We start from the raw sequence: 25,458 nt of genomic DNA on the forward strand, positions 1-25,458 counted from the left end.
CAGGCTCTGTGCTAGGTACCTTCACATATGTTATCTCATTTAATAGAGCAAGTGATCTAGGAGCCTTTCGTGTTGTCAGCTGCTTTCCTCCAAGACAATTTGCTCACGAGCCAGCCTTCCATTTATGAAAGCAGTAGACAAAAGCCTTGCCAGATGGCTTGGGGATCTGAAAGAATAGGAGATGTTTTTACACAATATGTTCTGTTGGGTTACTGATGACAGAGGCTCTAGAGCAAAGTGACTGAGATGGGAGTACTTGCAGGGTTGCAGTGAGTTCCATTTGTTCCCTGCAAACAATGTCCCTCAAACAGTGAGGACGATGAGACTCTGAATTAACCCTCCTTTTCTAAATGACACTCTGTTCTCCGCATAGCACAGAAGGATGATGTTGAGGCTGTGTAGTATTTGTAAACAGCTGTTCCATTGTAAGCCTACATGCTGCAGTGATCAGTATTCAGAGCTCCAATAAAGCACTACAAAGTTAAGTGGTAGTAAAACTAAAGCAGAGCAGCGGAATGGAAAGGAATCACAAACCAGACACAATTATACTCATTTTTATATCCGTACCTTAAATTTTAATGTCTCGTACTGGCCCCTAAATAAATGAATTATACAAGGTTCACAACCACTGAAATGAATTTTGGCTTTCTCCAAAATTCTCTAATTTCACAGAGATGGTGCAATGGACAAGAGCAGAAAAGAATGAACTTAAAAAACATATCTGTAGCTATTGCATGGAAGAAACCCAAAGGTAATGCATGTATAGCAGATCTGTAAAAATCCAGGCTGATAAGGAAGATGTTGAATAAAATTTAACACATCAGTTTTTATCAACAACTTCATTTTTATTTCTGACACCTCCAGGAACATCTCTTCTTATGGAAATTTCCATCACTGAGTCCTCCTGTTATTAACTTGGGGACCATATATATTACATAACTCTTTATAACTGGTATTGTTTCAGTCAGCCCAAGCCACTTCATCTCCTCAATCAGTCTGTACCTGGTGTCACAAAGGAAATACATTCTTTTTTGTACAAATTTAAGGAGTACAAGTGTAATTTTGTTGCATGCATATATTGTGTAGTGGTGAAGTCTTGGCTTTTAGTGTACCAATTACCTGCACAATGTACATTGTACCCATTAACCAATTTCTCATCACCCTTCCCCTGCCTGTCCTCCCCAACCCTTCTGAATCTCCAGTGTCTACCTTTCCACACTCTACGTCCATGTGCACACATTATTTATCTTCCACTTGTAAGTGAGAACAGCCAGTATTTGACATTCCATTTCTGAGTTGCTTCACTTAAGATAATGACCTCCAGCTCCATTCATGTTGCTACAAAAGACATGATTTCATCGTTTTTATGGCTGAATGGGATTCCATTGTGTATATATACCACATTCTCTTTAATCATCCCTTGATGGACAGTTAGGTTGATTCCATATCTTTGCTATTGTGAATAGTGCTGCCATAAACATACACGTGCAGGTATCTTTTCAATGATATGATTTCTTTCCTTGTAGATTCTCAGTAGTAGGATTACTGAATCTAATGGTAGATCTCTTTTCAGTTCTTTGAGAAGTCTCTATACTGCTTTCCACAGAGGTTGTTTGTTCATTTATTCCTTTACTCCTTCATCCCTGGCTGAGCATGTGAACTCCCTGCCCTCCACTAACATCAAGTTATTCAACCTCTCTGTGCTTCAATTTCTTCAACTCTAAAAAGTAGTCACAGTCCTGTGAATTCTCTACTCATAAGATTATTGTGAGGGTTAAATATGATTATCTCTGTAAATCCATGTGTACAATGTCTGCTATATAATGACAATATAATGTGAGCCATCATTGCTATTCATTCCTTCAATAAATATTTTTTGAGCATCTACCACACATCAGGTACTACCCAGGGTGAAGAGTCATAAGGGTGCCCAGGACAGGCCGCATCTCTGATTTCAGAGCATTTACATTGATTCCAGCTTTCTTTCCTTTTCCTGCCTCTCGGAAATAGCCATCGGTAAGATGGCTAGGAAAGAGAAAAGGAAGGGGCTAATTTTTATGGACAGAGTTCATAACAAGTAAGCTGACAGAGCAGAGTATATGATCATGTGTTAATATTGTTAGTAGTAGTCCTAATAATTATATCTTTCTCTTAATGAGTACTTACAGAAAAATCTGTGACCTTTTTTACTCTTGACTTACATTTTAGAAGTGCTTCTTTCATTGTAGTTATTTTTGCTATCTTTACAATTTTACCTTTTCTTTCCTCATACTTGGTATCTCAGGTTCCAGAATGATGAAATGGGTATTTCCTAACTATAGAGGTAGATCTGTGTATCTACCTAGATATCTATAGATAGGTATATAGATATAGATAGATATAGATATTAATTGCATCTTAACTGTTTTATATCTGACAAGCTTCTTGAGGCAGCTTATAATAAAATCAGTCAAATTGAAAACTTTCAAATGAAGAAAAATAATATATTTTATAAAGGATAAGAGCAGAGAGAAAAACACTGTATTCAGAGAGTTAGTTGGCAAAGATACAATAGTTATGCACAATATTTAGGTCTGATATTCCTGAAAACCAGGGAAAACAGAGGAAAAAAAGATGGATCATATGACTTGTTGTCTAGAAATCATACTCATATGGATTCAGTGGGAGAAACAATTTCTTTTTTGTTGTTGTTTTATGGCTTTAAATTCTGAGATTAATTTATCAAACTGGATGGTTGTCATAGAAAGGGTCTGAGTGACATAGTAAATTGTGTCCTCCATAGTAACCCTCACTCTACCTCATAAAAGGGCATTCCCAATTGTCCTTATTATATCTCCCTTATTGGTCTGTCAAGGCAATTTCACTGGAACCCCAAGGAACATGGAGCGGGTGACTTAAATTAAAAATAACATGTCTAGAAAACATCAAGGAAACAAGCATGAATGAATCCCTCAGTTTCATTATCCAATGTCAACATTTTACCTGAATTTTTAACTAGAGCAGATGGCAGTCAAATCAAGACTGACGTCTCAGGGGAGAATCTGAAGTGCTTCCCTTCCATGCAGTCATTGTAAGAAGTGTGAACTAGTGTCCACAGGCCAAGCTTACAGAAGGCAAGGTGGTCACATACATGAGAGATACTTATTGCTGGCACTTTGCTAAAAAAGCTTCACATATCATCTTTCATTCATTCAATGCCACATTGTTTCTATGTTCTTTGTTGTTATAATTATTATTATTAACCCCCTGCAAGTGAGGAATTGGGAGCAGAGATAATTTAAGTAGCCTTCCTTGTGCCATACAGCGGATATAGGGCAGAGCTGTGATTTGAATTCTGCACCCCAACTCCATTATAAATATTTTTTCTACCTCTAAACTTTTCCCAGAATTTTATGGTGAATTTAAAAAAATAAATACGTTTGTAGTCATACCCCTGGTAAGAGAGTATAAGCACAAAGATGAGTTCAGACTTTGAGGACTTGACTTCAAGCTGTGGTATCTTCCCTGAACATAATTATCCTCCCTGAACATAATTTTCTTCATCCCTAAGGTGAACAAAATAATAACTAAGTGCCAATGATGTTATAAAAGTAAGAAATAATGACCATGAAGTATCTGGAATGTAGCAGGTACCCCAAAAATGAGAGCAACTAAGTTGGATTTAAGATAAGCTCTGGTCCTCATTGTCAAAGGCAGGAGTACTTGTAACAATGGGTCTACTGAAGGACTGAAAGAAATTCGAAAAGGTATGTAAAACATCTTGAATAAAGAGAAAAGGAAGAGAGTGTAAAGAATGAAGAGGGTGTTGATTAAACACCAACTATGAGCTAAATGATTTGCTTATATATCTAATTTAATCATTCCAATATCTCGATATAGAAGATGCTACATTTTTCCCAGAAAAGTAAATTGAGGCTTAGCAAACGTAATCAATTTTTTTTCAAATTCACCATGTGGTAAATTATAGAACTGAGATTTAAATTCAGGTTTCCCTGATCCCAAACCCATTGCACTGACCTATCCTATGCACCTCAGTTAATCAGAAAACATGCTCACAGGTATATGAATGAATGTTCCATATTTTTTAAATAGCACTAGAGATCCTGGACAACCAATTCTTCCCCTATCTCTGCCACTAACTAGATACACAACCACTTCCTTGCTCTTAGTCTCAGTTCCCCCATTTCTCAAATGAGGCAGGAGCCTACGTGATTTCTAAAACCCTCTTCAGCTCTAACATTTTATGATGATTCTTTCCCCCAAAGAACTCTGCTGGCAACACAGAGCGAAGACATAGCACATATGTATAAAAGTTCCTCCGTTTATATTAAATTCCACATTCCTGCAGGGATATGTAATGTCTGTTGCCCTTCATTCGACTCCATACTCCAATGTTTGTTTACAATCATCAGACCATGAACAGCTATTTTTAAACCTGGCTTTTCATGTAAGAAGGTTAAAACTCAAACTGAATTTGATTTGTTAGAGAATTCAAATCCTCAGGATTATGACAGGAAAAAAGAGAAATGTAAGTCACTTTAATTACCCTTTGACTCTTCTCTCCCCACTCCCACCCTCATAATTCCGCTAACAAAAATGCCATTGGTTAAGCTAACTGTATCCAGGACAGAAAATCCTGTTCATTGGTGGATGATGACCAAAGTCTTCGAGTTGTTTATTTTCCATTTTTCTTCGAAACAACAGGAAGTATTGTTTTAGGAGCTGGCTTGGGAGGCAGCAAATCCAAGGCTTTGCACAGCTGGCTGAAGTGAAATATCTAGTAGTCTAATTCAACTGAGTTTTTATCCATCATACTTTCTGTGTGTGTGTGTGTGTGTGTGTGTGTGTGTGTGTATGTATACTCTGAAATCAGGCAGATGCCAGTCCACTGCTTACTAGTGTGATCTGGCAGAAAGCCTGGCACATAGTAGGAATATAACTTGCCTGCTCCCTTCTGTCACTAACATGGATTTTGTTCTGCTTTGCTTTTAATTTGGGGCCCATCTGTAGACCCCGCTATGGAACATAATCTCCCTGAGAGCTGGGATTGTTTAGTTGTCTCCCTATCACTACAGCCTAGAAGAGTATTTGGCTCATAATAGTTTCAATAAATATCGAATGACGTGCTAAGAGATTACATTCCCGGAGTACTTTATAAAGGGATGCAAGAAGTATTTTTACAGAGTTATTGCATAAGACAGAGAGTGACAGCAGATGAGTGTGGGATTCCTTTGAGGACTTAAAAATGTTCTAAAATTGATTATAGTAATGACTGCACAACTCTGCGAATATGCCGAAACCCGTTGAGTTGTGCGCTAGTGAATTGTATGTTTTATGAATTATATATCTCTATAAAGGCTTGTTTGTTTGTTTGTTTTTTGTTTTCTTTTTGTTTTTGGTTTTGTTTTGAGACAGGATCTTGCTCTGCCACGCAGGCTGGAGTGCAGTGGTGCAATCATAGCTTACTGCAGATTCGAACTCCTGGGCTAAAGTGATCCTCCTGCCTCAGCCTCCTGAGTAGCTGGGACTACAGCTGTGTGCCACCACACCAAGGCTAATTGTTTGTTGTTTTTTGTAGTGGTGGGGTCTTGCCATATTGTCCAAGCTGGCCTATAAAGTTATTTTTTAAGGAAACTTTTTAACCCCCTTCAAACTGCGTGTTCCTTAACACTCATATTTATACTGGAAATTGACACCGATGATTTGAATAAATTGTTAGCAGCTGATAACAAAATGAACTGGGAGAAAAGGATTAGGAATGAGAAGAAACATTATATCATATTCAAGAAAGACATGTCCCCACTATTCCTTTTTAATTAAGACACTCTTTTTCCCTCCTTGAATTTAGACTCTTCTCAAAACAAGCCTGATAAATATAACAAAAATGGGTGAAACAGTGAATAAGTCAGAATAGCAAGCCTTTCTTTTCCATACAGACTCATTCCATGCCATCTTGTAATATGCTGTGATGTGAGAAACTCTTGGTCTCCAACATAGCTTCTGAACTCATGAGTTTTCCAGATTGCCAGAAACTTTGGAATCCTGATTATCTGACCAACTCTTTCATACCAGAAATCACATACTTCGTATAAGGCACATACACTCTGCAGGCATATTTTTAAATAACTCATTCAGACTCTCAACAAATATTTACTGTCTAGTACTCACCAGACATTGGGCTAAGTGCTGCAGACTGAAAGATAAAACTTAAGACTGAGAGTTAACATTTATTAAGCATGCCATGTGCTTCCTAGGTATTAACCTAGTTAATTATCCTAAAAACCATTTAAGGTAAAGATGCACGTCATCATCAACCCCATTTGAGAGATTAGAAAACTGAGACACAAAAAGGTCAAGTAACTTGCTTAAGGTCACACAGCTAGGAAGTGGAGGATCTAGCATTATGCCAAGGCAGCGTGGCTCAACAAAGTCTATCCTGAGAACCTCTTCTCTTAGTGCCTCCCATATCAAGGATAGGACATGCCCAATCAGGGAGCAAACACTTAGTTGCAGTACATGATGAGTGTCCTATCTGTGGGATGAACAAGTTGCAGTAGGAAGAAATATAGAGCTCACATATTAACTAAATCTCAGAATTTTAGAGCAGAGCAAAACAGCAGAGGCAGTTTTCTCAACTTTATTTTCTTTAAGATGAGGAAAATGAGGCTCAGAGAAAGGCTACAACGTGTTCAATGTCTCACAGGTTAGTAGTTATTGAACTTGATCCCATGTTTCTTAAGTTCCCCATACGACTCTTGCATGCATTCATACATTTATTCAAAAATATTTGTGCCTGGTACTATGCTCTTTTCACTATATCCTACTGCATGTATTAATTAGAAATGCTAAAAAAAAATTTAAGCAATATTAAAAAGCAGACATGATTTCATAGTTAATTATGCAAAGATCATACTGCCCAATCACAATTTTACAAATTCATTAAGTCACTCAAGAGGCATGGAAATGGGAAAAAGAGGAAAACAAGAGAGCAGAAAGCTAACTATTGTTTAGTTTTCTTACATTTGGAGCTAATTTGTCACCACTATTTCAGGTAGCCTTCCAAACAATCCCATTGGATGTTAGTGCTTGCCATTTTTTCTAGTGAGGCCACACGCTCAAAATACTTAAAATTTTTGCACAAAGTTACAAGACTAGTAAGTAGGAAAATAATTTACATTTGAGCCCTGCTTTTCCTGACTTTAAAGCTCAAATTCTTTTCACTTCTATGCTGATTTCCAAGCTCAGTATAAGTGGGAGAGTCAAGTATCTCTGAATAGAGTGGATTCTCTGATCGAAGCATTAATCATTTGGCAAATTATAGTTAGGTTCAAAGTTCCATAAAGACAGTAAAGTGGAAAAAATGAACTTTCTTCCTCCCAGGCCTACCTATCCACAAATATAAAATATCGTCTTCAAACTCTCTATTTTAGTTCTCTTTTTTTTCCTTAGACACACAGCTTTGAAATGTCTTATTTAGCACAGCCAGCTGCCATGGAAACGTGAAAGCAGATGACCTAGGCAAAAGATCTTGTCGAGTGATTTTAATGAAGGTTTCTTTCCTGAATGTCAAATATAGGAGGTGAGTCAAAAATGGGCATTTACAAATGTTAAAGAAAGCCACAGACATCCTAAGGCACTTAGATTTTTCAGTCTGCTCCTTCTTTGTCCATGTCAAAGGTTACCCTGAGAAAAGGCCCAATGACAGAAATTATCTTTCAGTGGCTCAAGACTTTTTGCATTTTCCTTATTTCCTTTCCAAAGAGTTTTCTTAAGTCAGTAGTCAGTGTATTTCTCCTGATATTATATACAAAGATGGTAAACATATATTCTCTTTTAAATTTTTGAACAATAATATCGTGATTAAAACTTGCAAAGAATTATTTATTTTTGTTTATTTCTGCTGTTGTTTATCTCAAAGGTTCCTTAGCTGGCCTACACATTGGAATCACTGGGGAGCTTTAAAAAAAATCTCACTTCCTGTGTCCTACTCCTATAAGATTGTAACTGAGATGGTCCAGGCATGGCCTCAGCTTTAGAATTTTTTAAAGATCCTCAGGTGATTCTAATGTACAGACAAGTTCAAGGACCCCATTAAATCTGGGTCTCATCATTAATTAATTAACCCTCTCTAGGGAGAGGGTAATCGAGCCTTCTGTACCCATGCCAGACTTCTTTCATAGCTCCCCAAAGCTTAATGTAGGGAAACAGAGAGAGCCAATAAACCATTACGGAGCCGGCCTCCATTTGGTGTGGAGTACAAATGATTGATTGATCTTTCGAGACTGTGCTAAGAGAGGCAGTATGAACAATTGCATCTCAGTACAGTGCACGGTAGGAAGGAAGAACTGATCCTTCAGCTCTGTGTTCCACAGAGCCTCAGAGTCAAAAGGGAACTCATGCAGGAGGCAAGAGGAACGGAGGTGAAGCATGAGCTGAGGTGCTGTTGAATTGTGCTGTGTGAAGTTGGTAGGAATCCACACAGAACTGGTTACCACAGCTGTGGTGTGGTTGAAATTAGTAACGAATGTCTCAAGACAAGCGAAGGTGAGAGGATCTTAAGTGGTTTGTTTAGAGGGATTCAGCACTGGTGAGAAAGTTTGGCTAATCTAAGCAGTTTAGGTCAGTTTAGCCACAGGTTGGTGTGCAGTTGTAGTCATGTGTAGTGACTGTTAAAATGACAGTGCTCAGGAGCTGCTTGTCTTTTAGGCTTCCTGTCTCAAACCTAAGGCAGTGCCGACTACTCATGGCTGGTTTGTTATTCTCTGCCCTCTCTTTCATCATTCCAGCTGGCCAGGTGGGTATTTGGATTCAGGGATTTTCATGGGGCCTGACTTTTTCCCTTTCTCTGTAGACACCTTATGAATGTCCCTTATAGTTGGATTGCGTGTGTGAGCACAGTGAGTGGATGGACTAGCAGGAGTATATGATACCATGTCAGCCCTGATTCTAAGTCATCTACTCCATTCCAGCTTTGACCAGAGGACCCTCCACTGAAGGTAATATAGCACTTATTCAGCTATGTTCAGTAATATTTCAATTACTATTTGGTCCTCATGCAGAATCTTATGGGTGAAATGATCATTGGTTCACATGATTTGGAAATAGCTGGGTCACTGACCATAATAGGACTGAAAGCTCACTCTCAAACTGTATTACAAATATGTAATAGCATCTACTATGTTTCCAGGAATGATGCTGGATGCCAATGATTTAATAAAAACCAGAGTTCTTCTTCTTAATGAAATTAGAAAGTAAGAAAGACATGAAAATAGATAATCAAAATTTGGAATTTGGTTGTTCTATTATAAGGGAGTATGAAGATTTGCAGAAACACAGAAAACAATTCAGTTTTCCTGGAAGAATCAAAGATGGTATCAAAGAGGCAACATTTGAACTGAGTCATAAAGGATGAGTTCTAATAACAGCTTTATTGTAGAACACTCTAGAAAACATAAAGTATTTCCAGATCCATCCTCTTAGCATGTAAGCAACTTAAAAGCAAAGACTGGTTTATCCTAGTCATGACTATATTTCCAAAGTATCTCTGTAATACTGAACCCATTATCAATCTTGATTCTCGTAGCCTCCTATGCACTGGGGAGATGGCAGAAGGGAAACATTCCAGACAGAGAAAATGAATGAACAAAGACAGAAAATTCATAACTCATGATCTCATGGAATTTTGACCTGTAGATATTCCAAGAAGAATCTCAGTAAACTCTGCCAGTGGCTATACTGGAAACACTAAGGAAAAAGACAACCGTCTGTCCTATATAACATCTCACAGTGTCGCATTTAGTACCTTAGTGAATTCATCAGGGCTCACAATCTGGTCCACATCTTTGTAGATTAATTTTTTAAAATGTTTATAGAAATCCAATCACTCAGGGCTGTAATTATCCTAGCCTGTGAGACTTGTAGAATGATAACTGATTAATTTGTAATGAGAAATTACCATTACAAAAACTATAGTATTAACTTTTCATGACCAGGCCATTCTACCTTTACCAATTTAGTAAATTACAGTTACAAATAATTGTCATGGTGACCAGAACATTCATATCTTCATCATAAGACTGTTTTCTCCCTGTGTGAGAGCAGAAATCGTAACAAGCAGACAGTTTAGTAAGCATAGAATCAGATGTAAAAGAGTTAAAGAGTTGAATGCTTAATAAATGTCAATTAAGATAGTCTGATGGCTTTTCCTTTCCATTGGGACAGTTGTACCCATGATATTGGAATATACAACATACTTTACCACCCTACCAATGGCCCCATATGAGGAGTTAGAGTAATCTAAGACTATTAACTAAGGCACTATCTCCTGGACAGTACTTCTTCCTCGTTTCCAATGTTCATTCAAACAAATTGCAATCACATTTTGCAAAACTGGAGGTCATTATATTCCTTCATGATGACTGTGGCAACACTGTTTGAGAACCTACTATGGGCTAAACATCTGCATTATCTCATTTAACCACAATCATGTGCAATATTATTTGTGCAGAAGAGTAAATCGTTCTTAGATCCATTAAATGACTTGCTCCAATAGAAACAGCATTAGATGGTAAAGTGAGGATTCTATCTAAGCCATTTGAAGTCCACTCAAGACTTCCACTAGACATTCATGTCCAAAGCCATTCACTTGCATAGAAAAGATATGCATACCTGACCAGATCACTAAAAAACATTAGGAAGCTATGATTGAATGGGTCAAATAGTACATACTGCAGGAGTTCAGAGAAGAGTGACATCATTGTGGGACAAGGTGGGAAATAGATAATATTTATTTGTGAAACATTTTCTTTCTTCTAGTGGTAGAACTTAAAAGGAAAATAAATGTAAGACATATCAGCCACCCTTCCCTCTTCCAACAACCATAGCAGAACTCTTTTTGCCTTAAGCCCAGATATATCACCTCAGAATCTTTCGAAAGACAGCAATCCACAACCATTAACAGTCAGTCACATTTAGCATACAACATAGAATCTATATGCACCATTTCTGAGTTGGAGGCTGAATCTACAAAGCACTAAAGGGGCTCAATGATTTTGTCTCTCTGGTAGAAAAATAATGATAAATTAAATGAAGTCAGGTAAAGCTTTTGTTTGATAAAATTTATGAGAACCCAATTTAAGCATTAACCTTTGTGTGTGTGTGTGTTTGTGTGTGTGTGTGTGTGCCTATCTATATATACTATCCAGAAATAGACAAGTAATTGCAAAATCATTACTTGATGGTCCTTGCAAACAACAGGAGGGGGTATCTTTTAAGACTCACCACACCTATAACTGATGCTCCACTCCTGACTAAAGCCTACATTATTTCCTAAAGAGGACCAACATCTATGGATAATATTGTTAGCAAATGAGATCTGCAAGGGCCTATTTAGAATTCTTTTAAAAAACAGATCCATGCTTGATTCAACCTCCATAAGAAAAAGTAGTTCCTGAGAAAAATGTGAAGGAGAAATTTTTGCTAAGTCATGTCTCTACCATATGATTAATCCCACAGAGAAAAAAGGAAGTCCAACAGAGGAACTGGGCCAGTTCATTCTACCCACTGGATGCCTAAACTCTGAACCTAGGGAAGAAGTAAGGTCTCTGCCTCATTTAGTCCTTCCATTTTGCGGTGTGAGCAACCCAATTGAGTCATAACTCTACATGTTCATTCATTCAACATCCAACAAAAATGCATGGCTTTATCTACGCATGTATTCATTCACACATTTAGCAATTGGTAATTCATTTAGGAAGCATTTGCCAAATACCTACACTTCAAGCATTCTGCTAACAACTAGGGATATGGAGAGAAGAAAACTCAATTTCTACCCTTTGGGAGCTCATTGTTTGGTTAAGCAAATTACCAAAAAAAAAAAAAAAAAAGATTGACAACTGAACAAATGATTGAAATATTGAAATATAGTACGGAAAATCTGATGAAAAAATTATGCAAAAGGTAGAGCAGGGAGCACAAATGAAAAAGCCCACAGCTCTTGCCAAAGGCATTCTGTGTACAGAACATTTTCAAGGTATCCAAGCTTCCCCACACTATGTAACAATTTATTCCCAGGTCTTGGGATATTGGAAGAAATGCCATGTCCTCCAGTTCTATGTGAATTCTACCTTCTGCATCACAACCTTCCTACACTTGAGTCAATTTGATACTACTCCAGCCCACGACTGCTAGCTCTATTCTGCCCCAATATTAAAAGACAAGACGGACAGGAAAAGAGGAATTTAAAAGCTCAAATTAAAAGAAGTGACAAGATTAGCATTGTTTATATGTATGACTTTGTATCTGGAAAACCCAAAAGAATCAACTAAAGTACCATTAAAGTTAGTAGAACAGTAAGGATGCTGAAGAGTTTCTGATGTACAAACGATAATCAGAAAATATTATGTAAAAATATAAGATAATCCCATTTAAAATATAGTAATAAATTAACAAAAAGTATCAAAATTTATATCATAAAAGTTTTGATGTTATCAAATATTTAAGGCAGTGCCTTAAAGACATTCTTAATAATAAAAATGGGCTTCTATGAATTATAAGAACATTGTCCCATAGAACCCAAGGTAGAAAGGACCAGTCTCAAAGAGATAGGTGGATGTGGTCTTTGTCTTTAAATAAATAAATAAATAAATAACATTTTTAAAGGAATTATTTCACCTGGGCCCAGAAAGGACCAAGATATTTCAAAATGAAAAGAGATCTTTGGAACCTCCTATAGAAACACAACAAATCTGCTTTGCAACAAACCCAGGTCATTTCTTGTGGAATAGAAAGGATTATTTATTATTCAACAATAAATATCCAAAAGAGTAAGCAAAGGAATATTTTCAAAGAATGTTGACTGCAACATTGTTAGTGATAACTAAAAAACTCAAACAACCCAATTTTTTTCATCAATAAGACAACAGTTAAATAAAATACAATACATAGATACAGTGGAATCCTATGTGGCTTTATACAACACAATTTTGACCTGTATGTTTTAACATGAAAATAGTTCTATGATTATGTAAGTATCATTTTTTAAATTTTATTTTCAAATTTGTACTTGTATGTTGCATTGTCTGGGAAGTAGACTCTGCGATGACAGGGACATTGTCTTTTTTTTTCACTGTTAAATTCCCAGCACTCAGAACAATACCTGAGACATAGTAGATGTACAGTAAGAACATCTTAATTGAATAAATTTCTTTAAAATGCTTAATAATCATTAGGCATAAAGCAAGTTCTTAATCAATGTTACCCATGATTGTTATTTTTCAGGGAAACCATGATTGTTGTTTGCAACTAGTGTTGCAAAACTGGTAAAGGAGTTACTACCCCATGAGCTATTACAACTGACAAGAGAAAGTTGCTTTCAAAACAGCTACTGAAATGTTTCAGGGCATGGGTTCAGGGAACTTCCTTACTTGAAAAGTTCTTTCCTGGAATATGGCTCTATTAAAAGACTGACCTACTCAGCACCACAGCTGACATTACATTTCCTTTCTATGTCCATTCTTCAGACTTTTTTTTGAGACAGTCAGGCCTCACTGACTTCCTGTTTCCTATCAATTTGTCACTGTTCCAATTTTCTTCCCCCATTGCCTCCTGCCCTTGCTGCCAGCTCTACAGCAGAGAAAAATCACATTGTCTGCCCCTCTGGAACACTATCAGAGAATTGCCTGGGCCCAAATAAATTTCTCTGGAGTGTGTGTTTATTTCTTTATTTGTAGGTAAATTGTTGGCTTGAACCTGCCATTGTACTACAAGACATCATACATTACCGCATTTATTACTTATAACAATCCTGAAAAGTGGGCAGTAAGGTTATTATGCCCTATTTCCAGATCCAGAAATCAAAGTCTAGAGAGTTCCAGGGAAGGGCCGGGCAGGAGTTGAACCCCAGCCCACCTGACTGCAAAGTTCATGCTTTAGATTAGTACCAGAGTTTATTCTATCATTTTAATTTCCATGCAAACTCTTCCTTGAGACTGATTATAATGCCCAACATTTCCTTTGTGGAGAGGGCAGGAGTGAGAAGAAACAGTACAAGAGGCAGTGAGTACAATTTGTCATATGTGACAAAGAAAAGAAAAACAATATCCTGGTTGAGACACACTTCTGAGGGAAGGGAATGCATGTCTAATTTTGCTTACTCAAGATATTAGAATCTTGACTGTCATTGAGTCAAATCCAGTCAGTCTAGGGGATAGTGAAAGATGCAGTTTCCTATATTGTTGATGGAAATGTAAACCAGTATAAGCCCTTTTGGAATGTAATTGTACAGAATGTGTTGAGAGCCTTATATTGTTCATACCTATTAACATAGTGATTCTAATCACTATAGCAAAAACTCGAAAATATGGGGAACATTTTTATTGTCTATTCACTTGTCCATTGTTGGCTGAGCATCTTTTATTGAGGCAGATGTATTCTACAGTACCAGGGAAGTAAAGCTGAGCAAGAGAGACAAGGACCCTGTCCTCATGAAAATTAATTTCTACGGAGAGTGATAGATAAGAAATGCAGAGTTAAATGCATAATAATGTCAACTACTGATAGATGCTAGAAAGAAAATAAGTCAGAGTAAAAAGAGAATGAAACGGGAGCCCTGGGTAGGCCCCCTGAAGGAGGTGACATTTGACAAAGAAATGAATGACACGAGGAAGCAAACTATGTATTATGTAGAGGCAGATGGTTTCAGCTGAAGAGACTGTAAGTGCAAAGCCCGAGAGGTAGGAGCCAAGTTTGAGGTGTTTGAGGGACAGTCAGAAAATAGTGTGGCAGGGAAGCGGTGATCAGAGGAGAGGTGAGTTTGTTCATTTATTTGTAGTAGAGTAAAAATAGAAGCTAGCTAAATGTTCAAAAGTCAAGGCCTGGATAAGTAAATTGTCTTATGTTGAAGAGGGCAGAGCAAGAAGGCCAAATAGAAGCCTATGTCATTCATTCCCCCAACAGGAAGACCAAATTTTAACAACTAACTACAGACAAAAAAGCACCATCAAAAGAACCAAAAATCAGGTGAGCAATCACAGAGTACCCAGTTTGTAACTTCATTTCACTGAAAGAGGCACTGAAGTGGGTAGAAGACTGTCTTGAATTAAGGACACCACCGCTCCCTCATCCCCAGGCAGTGGCCATGAGGCACAGAGAGTCTCTGCATTTGCAGGAGGGAGAGCGAAATGACTGGGAGACATTACACTGAACTCAGAGCTGCCCTATCACAATGGAGGACAAAGCCATGCTGAATGCAGCCAGTGCCCATGCATGGAAGGAGCATTTGGATAAGACCTGGCCAGAGGGGAATCATCCATCCCAGCAGCAGGAACTTGAGTTTCATGGCAGGCCTCACCACCATGGGCCAAAGTGCTATGGGGTCCTAAGTAAACTCGAAAGGCAGTCTAGGACACAGGACTGCAATTCTTAGGCAACTCCTAGTGCAGGCATTTAGAGCGAGGAGACTAGGGTAGCATGTGACTTACAGAGACATCCAACAGGGCTGCTAAGGGAGTGATTGCACCACCCCTGCCCCAACCCCAGCCAGCACAGCTGGCAGCAACCAAAGTGACTCCTTTCTTCTGCTTGAGGACAGGAGAGCAAAGAGTAAAGAGGACATCATCTTGCATCTTGGATGCCAGCTCAGCCACAGGATAGGGCACCAGTCAGAGGACCCTATTCCAGGCCCTAGCTCCTGGATGAGATTTCTAGACATATCATGGGCCAAAAGGGAATCCTCTGCCTTGAAGGGAAGGACCCAGTCCTGGCAAGATTCATCAGCTGATAACTAAAGAGCCTTTGGACCCTGAATAACCAACAGCAATATCCCAGGGAGTACACCATGTAACTCAGGCTCTGAGATGTGCTGGCATCAGGTGTGACCCAGCACATTCACAGCTGTGATGCATACGGTGAAAGACTTCTGTTTGAGACAGGCAGAAGAAAAAGTAAAGGAGACTTTGTCTTGCACCTTAGGTACCAGCTTAGCCACAGTGTGATAGAGCACCCCGTAGGCTCCTGGAGTCCCTGATTCCAGGCCTAGGCTCTTGGACAGTATTTCCAGACCTTCCCTGGGCCACAGGGGAGCCCACTGCCCTGAAAGGTAAGCCCCAGACCTTGCAGAATTTACCACAAGCTGACCATAGAGCCCTGGAGTTTTAAGAGAACATTGGCAGTGGCCTGACAGAACTCGCTGTGGGCCAATGATGGTGGTGGTGGTGGTGGTCACAGGAAGAGGCTCCTCTCCCTGTGAAAGGGGAGGGAAGATTGGGAAGGACTGTCTGGTGGCTTGAGTTCCAGCTTAGCCACAGAATAATAGAACATGAGATAAGTTTCTAAGATTTTTCACTCTAATCCCTGGCTTCTAGACAGCATCTCTGGACATGCCCAGGGCCTAAGGGAACTCAACACTGTGAAGAGACACAAACCTGGCTGGCTTCACCACCTGCTGATTGTAGAGCACTAGGCACTTGAGTGAATATAGGTGGTAGCCAGAGAGTGGTTACAGCGAGCTTTGGGTGAGACCCAATGCTGTGCAGGCTTCAGGTCAGAAACAGCTCATTCCCAGTGGTGATGGCCATAGGGGTGCTTGTGTCACCCTAACCCCCATTCCAGATGGCTCAGCACAGAGAGAGAGAGAGAGACTCTGTTTGTTTGGGAAAAAGTAAGGAAAAAGAAGAGTCTCTGCCTAGTAATCCAGAGACTTCTTCTGGATCTTATCCAAGACAATCAAGGCTGTACCTCTATGAGTCTCCAAGAACCACAGCATTGTTGGGCTGGGGGCCCAAATCCCTTTGAAGACCTGGAGAGCCTTCCAAAGAAGGACAGGCACAAACAAGCCCAGACTGTGAAGATTATGATAAATGTCAAACTCTTCAATTTGTAGACAGTAATGAACATTTACAAGCATCAGGGCCATTCAGGAAAACACGACCTCACTAAATGAACTAACTAAGGCATAAGGAAGCAATCCTGGAGAAAGCAGATAGAGAATTCAAAATAGCTGTTTTGAGAAAACTCAAAGAAATTCAAGACAGCACAGAGAACACAGAATAGTAGTCCCAGCTACTCAGGAGGCTGAGGTGGGAGGATCACCTGAGCCTGGGAGGTCAAGCCTGCCATGAGCCATGATCATGCCACTGCACTACAGCCTGGGTGATGGAGTGAGACTTTGTCTCTCAAAAATGAATAAATATTTTTTTAATTTTAAAAATAAAGAAAATAAAGCAGAAATTCTACAGCTGAAAAACAAAAAGCATATACTTAAGAATGCATCAAAATTAGTGAGTTTAAAGACGGGCCATTTGAATATACAGTCTGTGGAGACAAAAGAAAAAATTTTAAAAAATGAAGCACACGTACAAGATTTAGAAAATAGCCTCAAAAAGGCAAATCTAAGATTTATTGGCCATAAAGTGGTAATGAAAGAGATAGGAGAAGAAAGTTTATCCAAAGGAATAATATCAGATAACTACCCAAACCTAGAGAAAGAGATGAGCATTCAAGTACAGGAAGGTTATAAACCACCAGACAAATTTAACCCAAAGAAGACTATTTCAAGGCATTTAAAAGTGAAACCCCCAAAGATAAAGGGTAAAGAAATAATTCTTAAAAACAGCAATAAAAAGAAACAAATAACATACAATGAAGCTCCAGTACATTTGGCAGAAAACTTACTGGTGAAAACCTTACAGACAAGGAGAGAGTGGCATTACATATTTAAAGTGCTAAAGAAAAAAAGCTTTTACCCTAGAATAGTGTATCTGGTGAAAATATCCCTCAGGCACGAAGGAGAAATAAAGACTTTCAGAGAAACAAAAGCCAAAGGATTTCATCAACACCATACCTGTCCTACAAAAAATTCTAAAGGGTGTTCTTTAATTTGAAAGAAAAGGTCATTAATGAGCAATAAGAAATCATCTGAAGATACAAAACACACTGGTAATAGCACACAGAAAAACACAGACTGCTATAACATTGTAATTGTGCCATGTAAACTACTCTCAAATAGAAAGACTAACTGATGAACAAATACATAATAAAAACAACAACAACTTTACAAGACATAGGCAATACAATAAGATTCAAAAAACAACAAAAAAGTTAAAAACTGGATGGATGAAGTTAAAGTATAGAGGGTTTTTTCCTCTGTATTTTAATTTCAGCAGGTTTTGAGGGAATTCATGGTGTTTGGTTACATGGATAAGTTCTTTAGTTGTGATTTCTGAGACTTTGGTGCATTCATCACCCGAGAAGTGTACACTGTGGTGTTTTATCCCTCAACCCCCTCCTACCCTTTCCTCCAAGTCCCCAAAGTCCATTGTATCACTCTTATGCCTTTGAGTCCTCATAGTTTAGCCCCACTTATAAGTGAGAATACACAATGTTCAGTTTTCCATTCCTTAGTTACTTCACTTAGAATAATGGTCTCCAATTCCATCCAGGTTGCTGTGAACGCTGTTATTTTGTTCCTTGGCATTTCATGACATAGATATTCCACATTTTCTTTACCCACTCATGGATTGATGGGCATTTGGACTGGTTTCATATTTTTGCAATTATGAATTGTGCTGCTATAAACGTGTGTGTAGGTATCTTTTTTGTATAAGACTTCTTTTCCTCTGAGTAGATAGTCACAAGTGGGATTGCTGGATCAAATGGTAGATCTACTTTTAGTCCTTTAAAGAATCTCCACACTGTTTTCCATAGTGGTTGTACTAGTTTACATTCTCACCAGCAGTGTAAAACTGTTCTGTTTCCACCACATTCTTGCCAACATCTATTATTTTTTTATTTTTTGATTATGGCCATTCTTGCCAGGGTAAGGTGGTATTGCATTGTGGTTTTGATTTGCATTTCCCTGATTATTAGGGATGTTGAGTATTTTTCATATGTTTGTTGTCCATTTGTATAGCTTTTTCTTGATAATTGTCTATTCATGTCTTAGCCTACTTTTTGGTGGGATTATTTGATTTTTCTTGCTGATGTGTTTGAGTTCTTTGTAGATTCTGGATATTAGTCCTTTGTCAGATGTATAGATTGCAAAGATTTTCTCCCACTCTGTGAGTTGTCTGTTTACTCTGCTGATTATTTCTGTTACTGTGCAGAAGTTAGTTTAATTAAGTCCAACCTATTTATCTTTGTTTGTGTTGCATTTGCTTTGGGATACTTGGTATGAAATCTATGCCTAAGCCAATGTCTAGAAGGGTTTTTCCAATGTTATCTTCCAGAATTTTTATGGTTTCAAGTCTTAGATTTAATTCTTTGATCCTTCTTGAGTTGATCTCTGTATTAGAAGAGACAGGAGGATCCAGTTTCATTATTCTACACATGGATTGTCAATTATTTCAGCACCATTTGTTGAATAGGGTGTCCTTTCCCCACTTTATGTTTTTGTATATTTTGTCAAAGATCAGTTGGCTGTAAGTATTTGGCTTTATTTATGGGTTCTCTATTCTGTTTCATTGGTCTATGTACCTATTTTTATACCAGTCCCATGTTTTGGTGACTATAGCCTTATAGTATAGTTTGAAGTCAGGTAAAGTAATGCCTCCAGATATGTTCTTTTTGCTTAGGCTTGCTTTGGCTATGTGGGCTCTTTTTTATTTCCATATTAATTTTAGGATAGTTTTTTTTTCTTGTTCTGTGAAGAATAATGGTGGTATTTTGATGGAAATTGCATTGAATTTGTAGATTGCTTTTGGCAGTATGGTCATTTTCAAAATATTGATTCTACCCATCCATGAGCATGGGATGTGTTTCCGTTTGTTTGTATCATTTATGATTTCTTTCATCAGTATTTTCTAATTTTCCTTGTAGAGGTCTTTCACCTCCTTGGTTAAGTATATTCTAAGTTGTGGGGGTTTTTTGTGTTTTTTTGCAGGGGGCAGCTGTTGTAAAAGGGGTTGAGTTCTTGATTTGATTCTCAGCTTGGTCGCTGTTGGTGTATAGCAGGGCTACTGATTTGTGTACCTTATTTTTCAACCTAAAATTTCACTGAATTCATTTACCAGTTCTAGGAGCTTTTTGGATGAATCCTTAGGGTTTTCTAGGTATATGATCATATCATCAGCAAACAGCAGTTTGACTTCCTTTTTAGTGATTTGGATGCCCTTTATTTCTTTCTTTTGTCTGGCTGATTGCTCTGGCTAGGACTTCCATCACTATGTTGAGTAGAAATGGTGAAAATGGGCATTCTTATTTTGTTCCATTTCTCAGGGACAGTGCTTTCAACTTTTCCCCACTCAGTATTATGTTGGCTGTGGGTTTGTCATAGATGGCTGTTATCACCTTAAAGTATGTCCCTCCAATGCAAATTTTTGCTGAGGGTTTTAATCATGAAGCGATGCCGGATTTCATCAAATGCTTTTTCTGCATCTATTAAGATTATCACGTGATTTTTGTTTTTAACTCTGTTTATGTGGTGTATCACCTTTATTGACTCGTGTATGTTAAACCATCCCTGCATCCCTGGTATGAAACCCACTTGGTGGATTATCTTTCGGATATGCTCTTGGTTTGGTTAGCTAGTATTTTGCTCAGGATTTTTGCATCTATGTTCATCAGAGATATTGTAGTCTTCTTTTTTTGTTATGTCCTTTCCTAGTTTTGGTATTAGGGTGACACTGGCTTCATAGAATAATTTAGGGAAGATTTTCTCTTTCTCTATCTTTTGGAATAGTGTCAATCAGATTGGTACCAATTCTTATTTGAATATCTGATATAATTCAGCTGTGCATCCATCTGGTCCCGGACTTTTTTTGTTGGCAGATTTTTTATTACTATTTTAATCTCACTGTTGTTACTGTTCTGTTCAGTGTTTCCATTTTCTCCTGGTTTAATCTAGGAGGGTTGTATATTTCCAGGAATTTATCCAACTCCTCTAGGTTTTCTAGTTTTTGTGCATAAAGATGTTCACAGTAGCCTTGAATGATCTTTTGTATTTTTGTGGTACCAGTTGTAATATCTCTCATTTCATTTTTATTTGCGCTTATTAGGATCTTCTCTCTTCTTGGTTAATCTCACTAATAGTCTATCAATTTTACTTATCTTTTCAAAGAAACAGTTTTTTGTTTTATTTATCTTTTCTATTTATTTGTTTCAATTTCATTTAATTTTGTTCTGATCTTGGTTATTTCTTTCTTCTGCTGGGTTTGGGTTTGACTTGTTCTTGTTTCTGTAGTTCCTTGAGGTGTGATCTTAGATTGTCTATTTGTACTCTTTCAGACTTTTTCATATAGGCATTTAATGCTATGAACATTCCCTTTAGCACTGCTTTTGCTGTATCCCAGAGGTTTTGATAGGTTTTGTCACTATTGTCATTCAGTTCAAAGAATTTTTTAATTTACATCTTGATTTCATTGTTGACCCAATGATCACTCAGAACAGCTTATTTAATTTCCATGTGTTTGCACGGTTTTGAGGATTCCTTTTGGATTTGGTTTCCAATTTTATTCCACTGTGGTATGAGACAGCACATGATATAATTTTGATTTTCTTAAATTTATTGAGACTCGTTTTTGTGGCCTATCATGTGGTCTATCTTGGAGGATGTTCATGTGCTTATGAATAGAATGTATATTCTGCAGTTGTTGGGTAGAATGTTCTGTAAATATCTGTTAAGTAGGGTATAGTTTAAGTCCATGGCTTCTTTGTTGAATTTCTGTCTTGATAACCTGCCTAGTGCTGTCAGTGGAGTATTGAAGTCACTCACTATTATTATATTGCTGTCTATCTCATTTCTTCGGTCTAGTAGTAATTGTTTTATAAATTTGGGACCTCCAGTGTTAGCTGCATATACATTGTGATATTTCCCTTTGGACTAATCTTTTAATCATTATATAATGTCCCTCTTTGTGTTTTTTAACTGTTGCTGCTTTAAAGTCTGTTTTGTCTCATATAAGAATAACTACTCCTGCTTGCTTTTGGTGTCCATTTGCATAGAATATATTTTTCCACTCATTTACCTTAAGTTTATGTGAGTCCTTATGTGTCAGATGAGTCTCTTGAAGACAGCAGATACTTGGATAGTGAATTCTTATTCATTCTGCCATTCTGTATCTTTTAAATTAAGCTTTTAAGCCATTTACATTCAACATTAGTATTGTGATGTGAGGTGCTATTCTCTGCATCATGCTATTTGTTGCCTGAATACCTTGGTTTTTTTTATTGTGTTATTGTGTTATAGGTCCTGTGTGATTTATACTTTAAAGATGTTCTATTTTGGTGGATTTTGAGGATTTGCTCCAAGATTCAAAGATCTTTTTAGAGTTTTTGTAGTACTGGCTTGGTAGTAGCAAATTCTCTCAGCATTTGTTTGTCTGTAAAATACTATATGTTTCCTTCATTTAAGAAGCTTAGTTTTGCTGTGTTAAAGCAAATTAAATATGGCCTGAGAAAGACTCCATACTTATATATTTGAGTCCTTGTGGATGGACTGTAACCTAGCTTAATAGACAAAATTGAAAACCTAACTTAATAGTATGCACCTGTAACAATAGCTGAGTGCTGGCCAATCCCAGAGGCCATACTTCAACCACTCATAGACTGCTGAATGTTCAAACTGCATTCAAATAAGCCAAACACCAAGCTGTAACCAATCTCACTGTTTCTGTGCCTCACTTCTGATTCCTGTACGTCACTCTAACTTTTTTGGCTATAATTTTTTTCTGACAATGAGGCACCCCTGGAGTCTCTGTGAATCAGCTGTGATTCTGGGGGGCTGCCCAATTCACAAATTGTTCATTGCTCAATTAAATTCATTTAAATTTAATTCAGCTGAAGTCTTTATCAGCTGGATACAAAATTCTTGGCAGATAATTGTTTTGCTTAAGGAGGCTAAAGATAGGACCCCAATCCCTTCTAGATTGTAGGGTTTCTGTTGAGAGATCTGCTGCTAATCTGATAGATTTTCCTTTATAGGTCACCTGATGCTTTTGCCTCACAGCTCTTAAGATTCTTTCCTTCATCTTGACTTCAGATAACCTGATGACTACATGCCCAGGCAATGACCTTTTTGTGATCAATATCCCAGGTGTTCTTTGAGCTTCTTGTATTTCGATGTATAGATATCTAACAAGGCCAGGGAAGTTTTCTCACTTATTCTCTCAAATATGTTTTCCAAACTTATAGTTATCTTCTTCTTCAGGAACACCAATTATTCTTAGGTTTGGATGTGTAACATAATCCCAAATTTATTGGACACTTTGTTCATTTATTTATTTTTATTTATTTATTTATTTATTTTGGACAGAGTCTCACTCTGTCACCCAGGTTGGAGTGCAGTGGCGTGATCTCGGCTCACTGCAAGCTCCACCTCCTGGGTTCATGCCATTCTCCTGCCTCAGCCTCTGGAGTAGCTGGGACTACAGGCACCTGCTACCAGGCCCGGCTAATTTTTTGTATTTTTTTAGTAGAGACAGGGTTTCACCATGTTAGCTAGGATGGTCTCAATCGCCTGACCTCGTGATCCGCCCACCTCAGCCTCCCAAAGTGCTGGAATTACAGGCATAAGCCACCGTGCCTGGCCTATTCTTTTTTCTTTGTCTTTGTCAGATTAGGTTAACTTGAAAGCCTTGTCTTTGAGCTCTAAAGCTCTTTCTCTACTTGTTTGATTCTATTTTTGAGACTTTCCAGTGTATTCTGCATTTCTCTAAGTGTGTCCTTTATTTCTAGAGGTTGTGATTTTTTTTTAATTTATGCTGTCTATTTCTCTGGAGACATTTTCATCCATATCCTGTAACTTTTTTTAAAATTTCTTTAAGTTGATATTCACTTTTCTCTGGTGCCTCCTTGAGTAGCTTAATAATTGACCTTCTGAATTCCTTTTCTAGCAACTCAGAGATTTCTTCTTGGTTTGGATCCATTGTTGGTGAGCTAGTGTGAGCTTTTGGGGTTGTTAAAGAACAATGTTTTGTCATGTTACCAGAATTGCTTTTCTAGTTCCTTCTCAACTGGGTAGACTTTGTCAGAGGTAAGATCTAGGACTCAAGGGCTGCTGTTCAGATTCTTTTGTCTCATAGGCTGCTCCCTTGATGTGGTGCTCTTCCCCTTCCCCTAGGGATGGGGCTTCCTGAGAACTGAACTGCAGTGATTGTTATTTCTTTTCTGGGTCTAGCCACCCAGTGGAGCTACTGGGCTCTGGGCTGGTACTGGGGAGTGTCTGCAAAGAGTCCTGTGATGTGACCTGTCTTCAGGTCTCTCAGCTGTGGATACCAGCACCTGCTCCAGTGGAGGCAGCAGGAAAATGAAGTGGACAATGTGGGGGTCCTTAGTTGTATTTTTGTTTAGTGTGCTCGTTTTGTGCTGGTTTGCCTCCAGCCTGGAGGTGGTACTTTCAATAGACCATCAGCTGTGATTGTACAGGGAGGATACAAGTTTGTCCTAGTGTCACCTGGATAAGTATTTGAGTTTCTCAGGTGGTGAATGGGGCCATAGAGCTCCCAAGAAATTATGTCCTTTGTCTTCGGCTACCAGGGCAGGTAGAGAAAGACCATCAGTGGGGGCAAGGTTAGGCATGTCTGAGCTCAGACTCTCCTTTGGTAGGGCTTACTGCAGCTGCTATAGGGAATGGGGGTGTGGTTCTCAGGCCAGTGAAGTTATGTTCCCACCAGGATTATGGCTGCTTCTGCTGCATCATACAGGCTTCCAGGGAAGTGGGGGAAATCTGGCAGTGACAGGCCTCATCCAACTCCCATGCAGCCCAAAAGGCCAGTCTCACTCCCACCATGCCCCCCAACAGCACCAAGTTTATTTCCAGGCAGCCGGTGAGCAGGGCTAAGAACTTGCCCCAGGCTACGAGCTTCCCACTGAGAAAGCAAACAGGGCTTTCAGGTTTCCTACTTCCCTGCCTACTGTAGCTTCTGTGCTTGAACCTGTATTCCCTGTTTGTTTGCTCCCTCCCTTGACTATGTCCAGGAAACTTTGCATTTGGTCAAAATTGTTACAAAGTTCAGCTGGAAGTTTCCTTCTCCCCGTGGTCTTTCTCCAATTTCACTGGAAGCCCTCCCCAAGGACCCCTGTGAGACAAAATCAGAAATGGCTTCCCTGGAGACCGAGATGCTCATAGGGCTCTTCTCACTGCTTCCTCTACCCCTATATTTCACTAAGCTCTCTAACTTTTTTTCAGCTCTGGGTAAGGTCAAATTTTCTCCTGTGATCTGGACCTTCATGTTCCCCAGTAAGGATGTGTGTTCAGGGGTGGACATTCTTTCTCTCACACTTGGCAGTCCCAGTTTTTGAGCTGTATCACAGAGCCTGCAGTGGCAAGCCACTTCCTTCAAAGGGTCTGTGAATTCTCTTGGCTTTCCTGGTATGTTGCTGTGGTAGTTCTTAGAGCAAAAGTTCACAATGTGAGTGCCCACATGCTGCTCTGTCAATCTGAGTGGGAACTACAAATTAGTCCTGCCTCCTATCCACCATTTTTTCTCAACTACCAAAGTATAGAGTTTTATTTAGTTTTCCTTT

At 38.5% G+C, this 25,458-nt stretch overlaps 1 long non-coding RNA gene across 4 annotated transcripts in view, besides 1 other annotated feature; it reads right to left on the reverse strand.

Moving 5' to 3' along the window:
• The window catches only part of CCDC26 (CCDC26 long non-coding RNA), a 328,546-nt gene that overhangs the window by 55,540 nt on the left and 247,548 nt on the right, over positions 1-25,458 (reverse strand). The window lies entirely within an intron of this gene.
• Positions 8,490-8,784: a silencer, noted in NCBI's record as "tiled region #4396; HepG2 Repressive non-DNase unmatched - State 24:Quies". NCBI's record gives its function as "represses a minimal TATA promoter and a strong SV40 promoter by Sharpr-MPRA in HepG2 cells {active_cell/tissue: HepG2}" and the evidence as "EXISTENCE:reporter gene assay evidence [ECO:0000049][PMID:27701403]".

The sequence above is a fragment of the Homo sapiens genome, chromosome 8 (assembly GCF_000001405.40).
Source record: "Homo sapiens chromosome 8, GRCh38.p14 Primary Assembly".
NCBI classification, from domain to species: domain Eukaryota; kingdom Metazoa; phylum Chordata; class Mammalia; order Primates; family Hominidae; genus Homo; species Homo sapiens.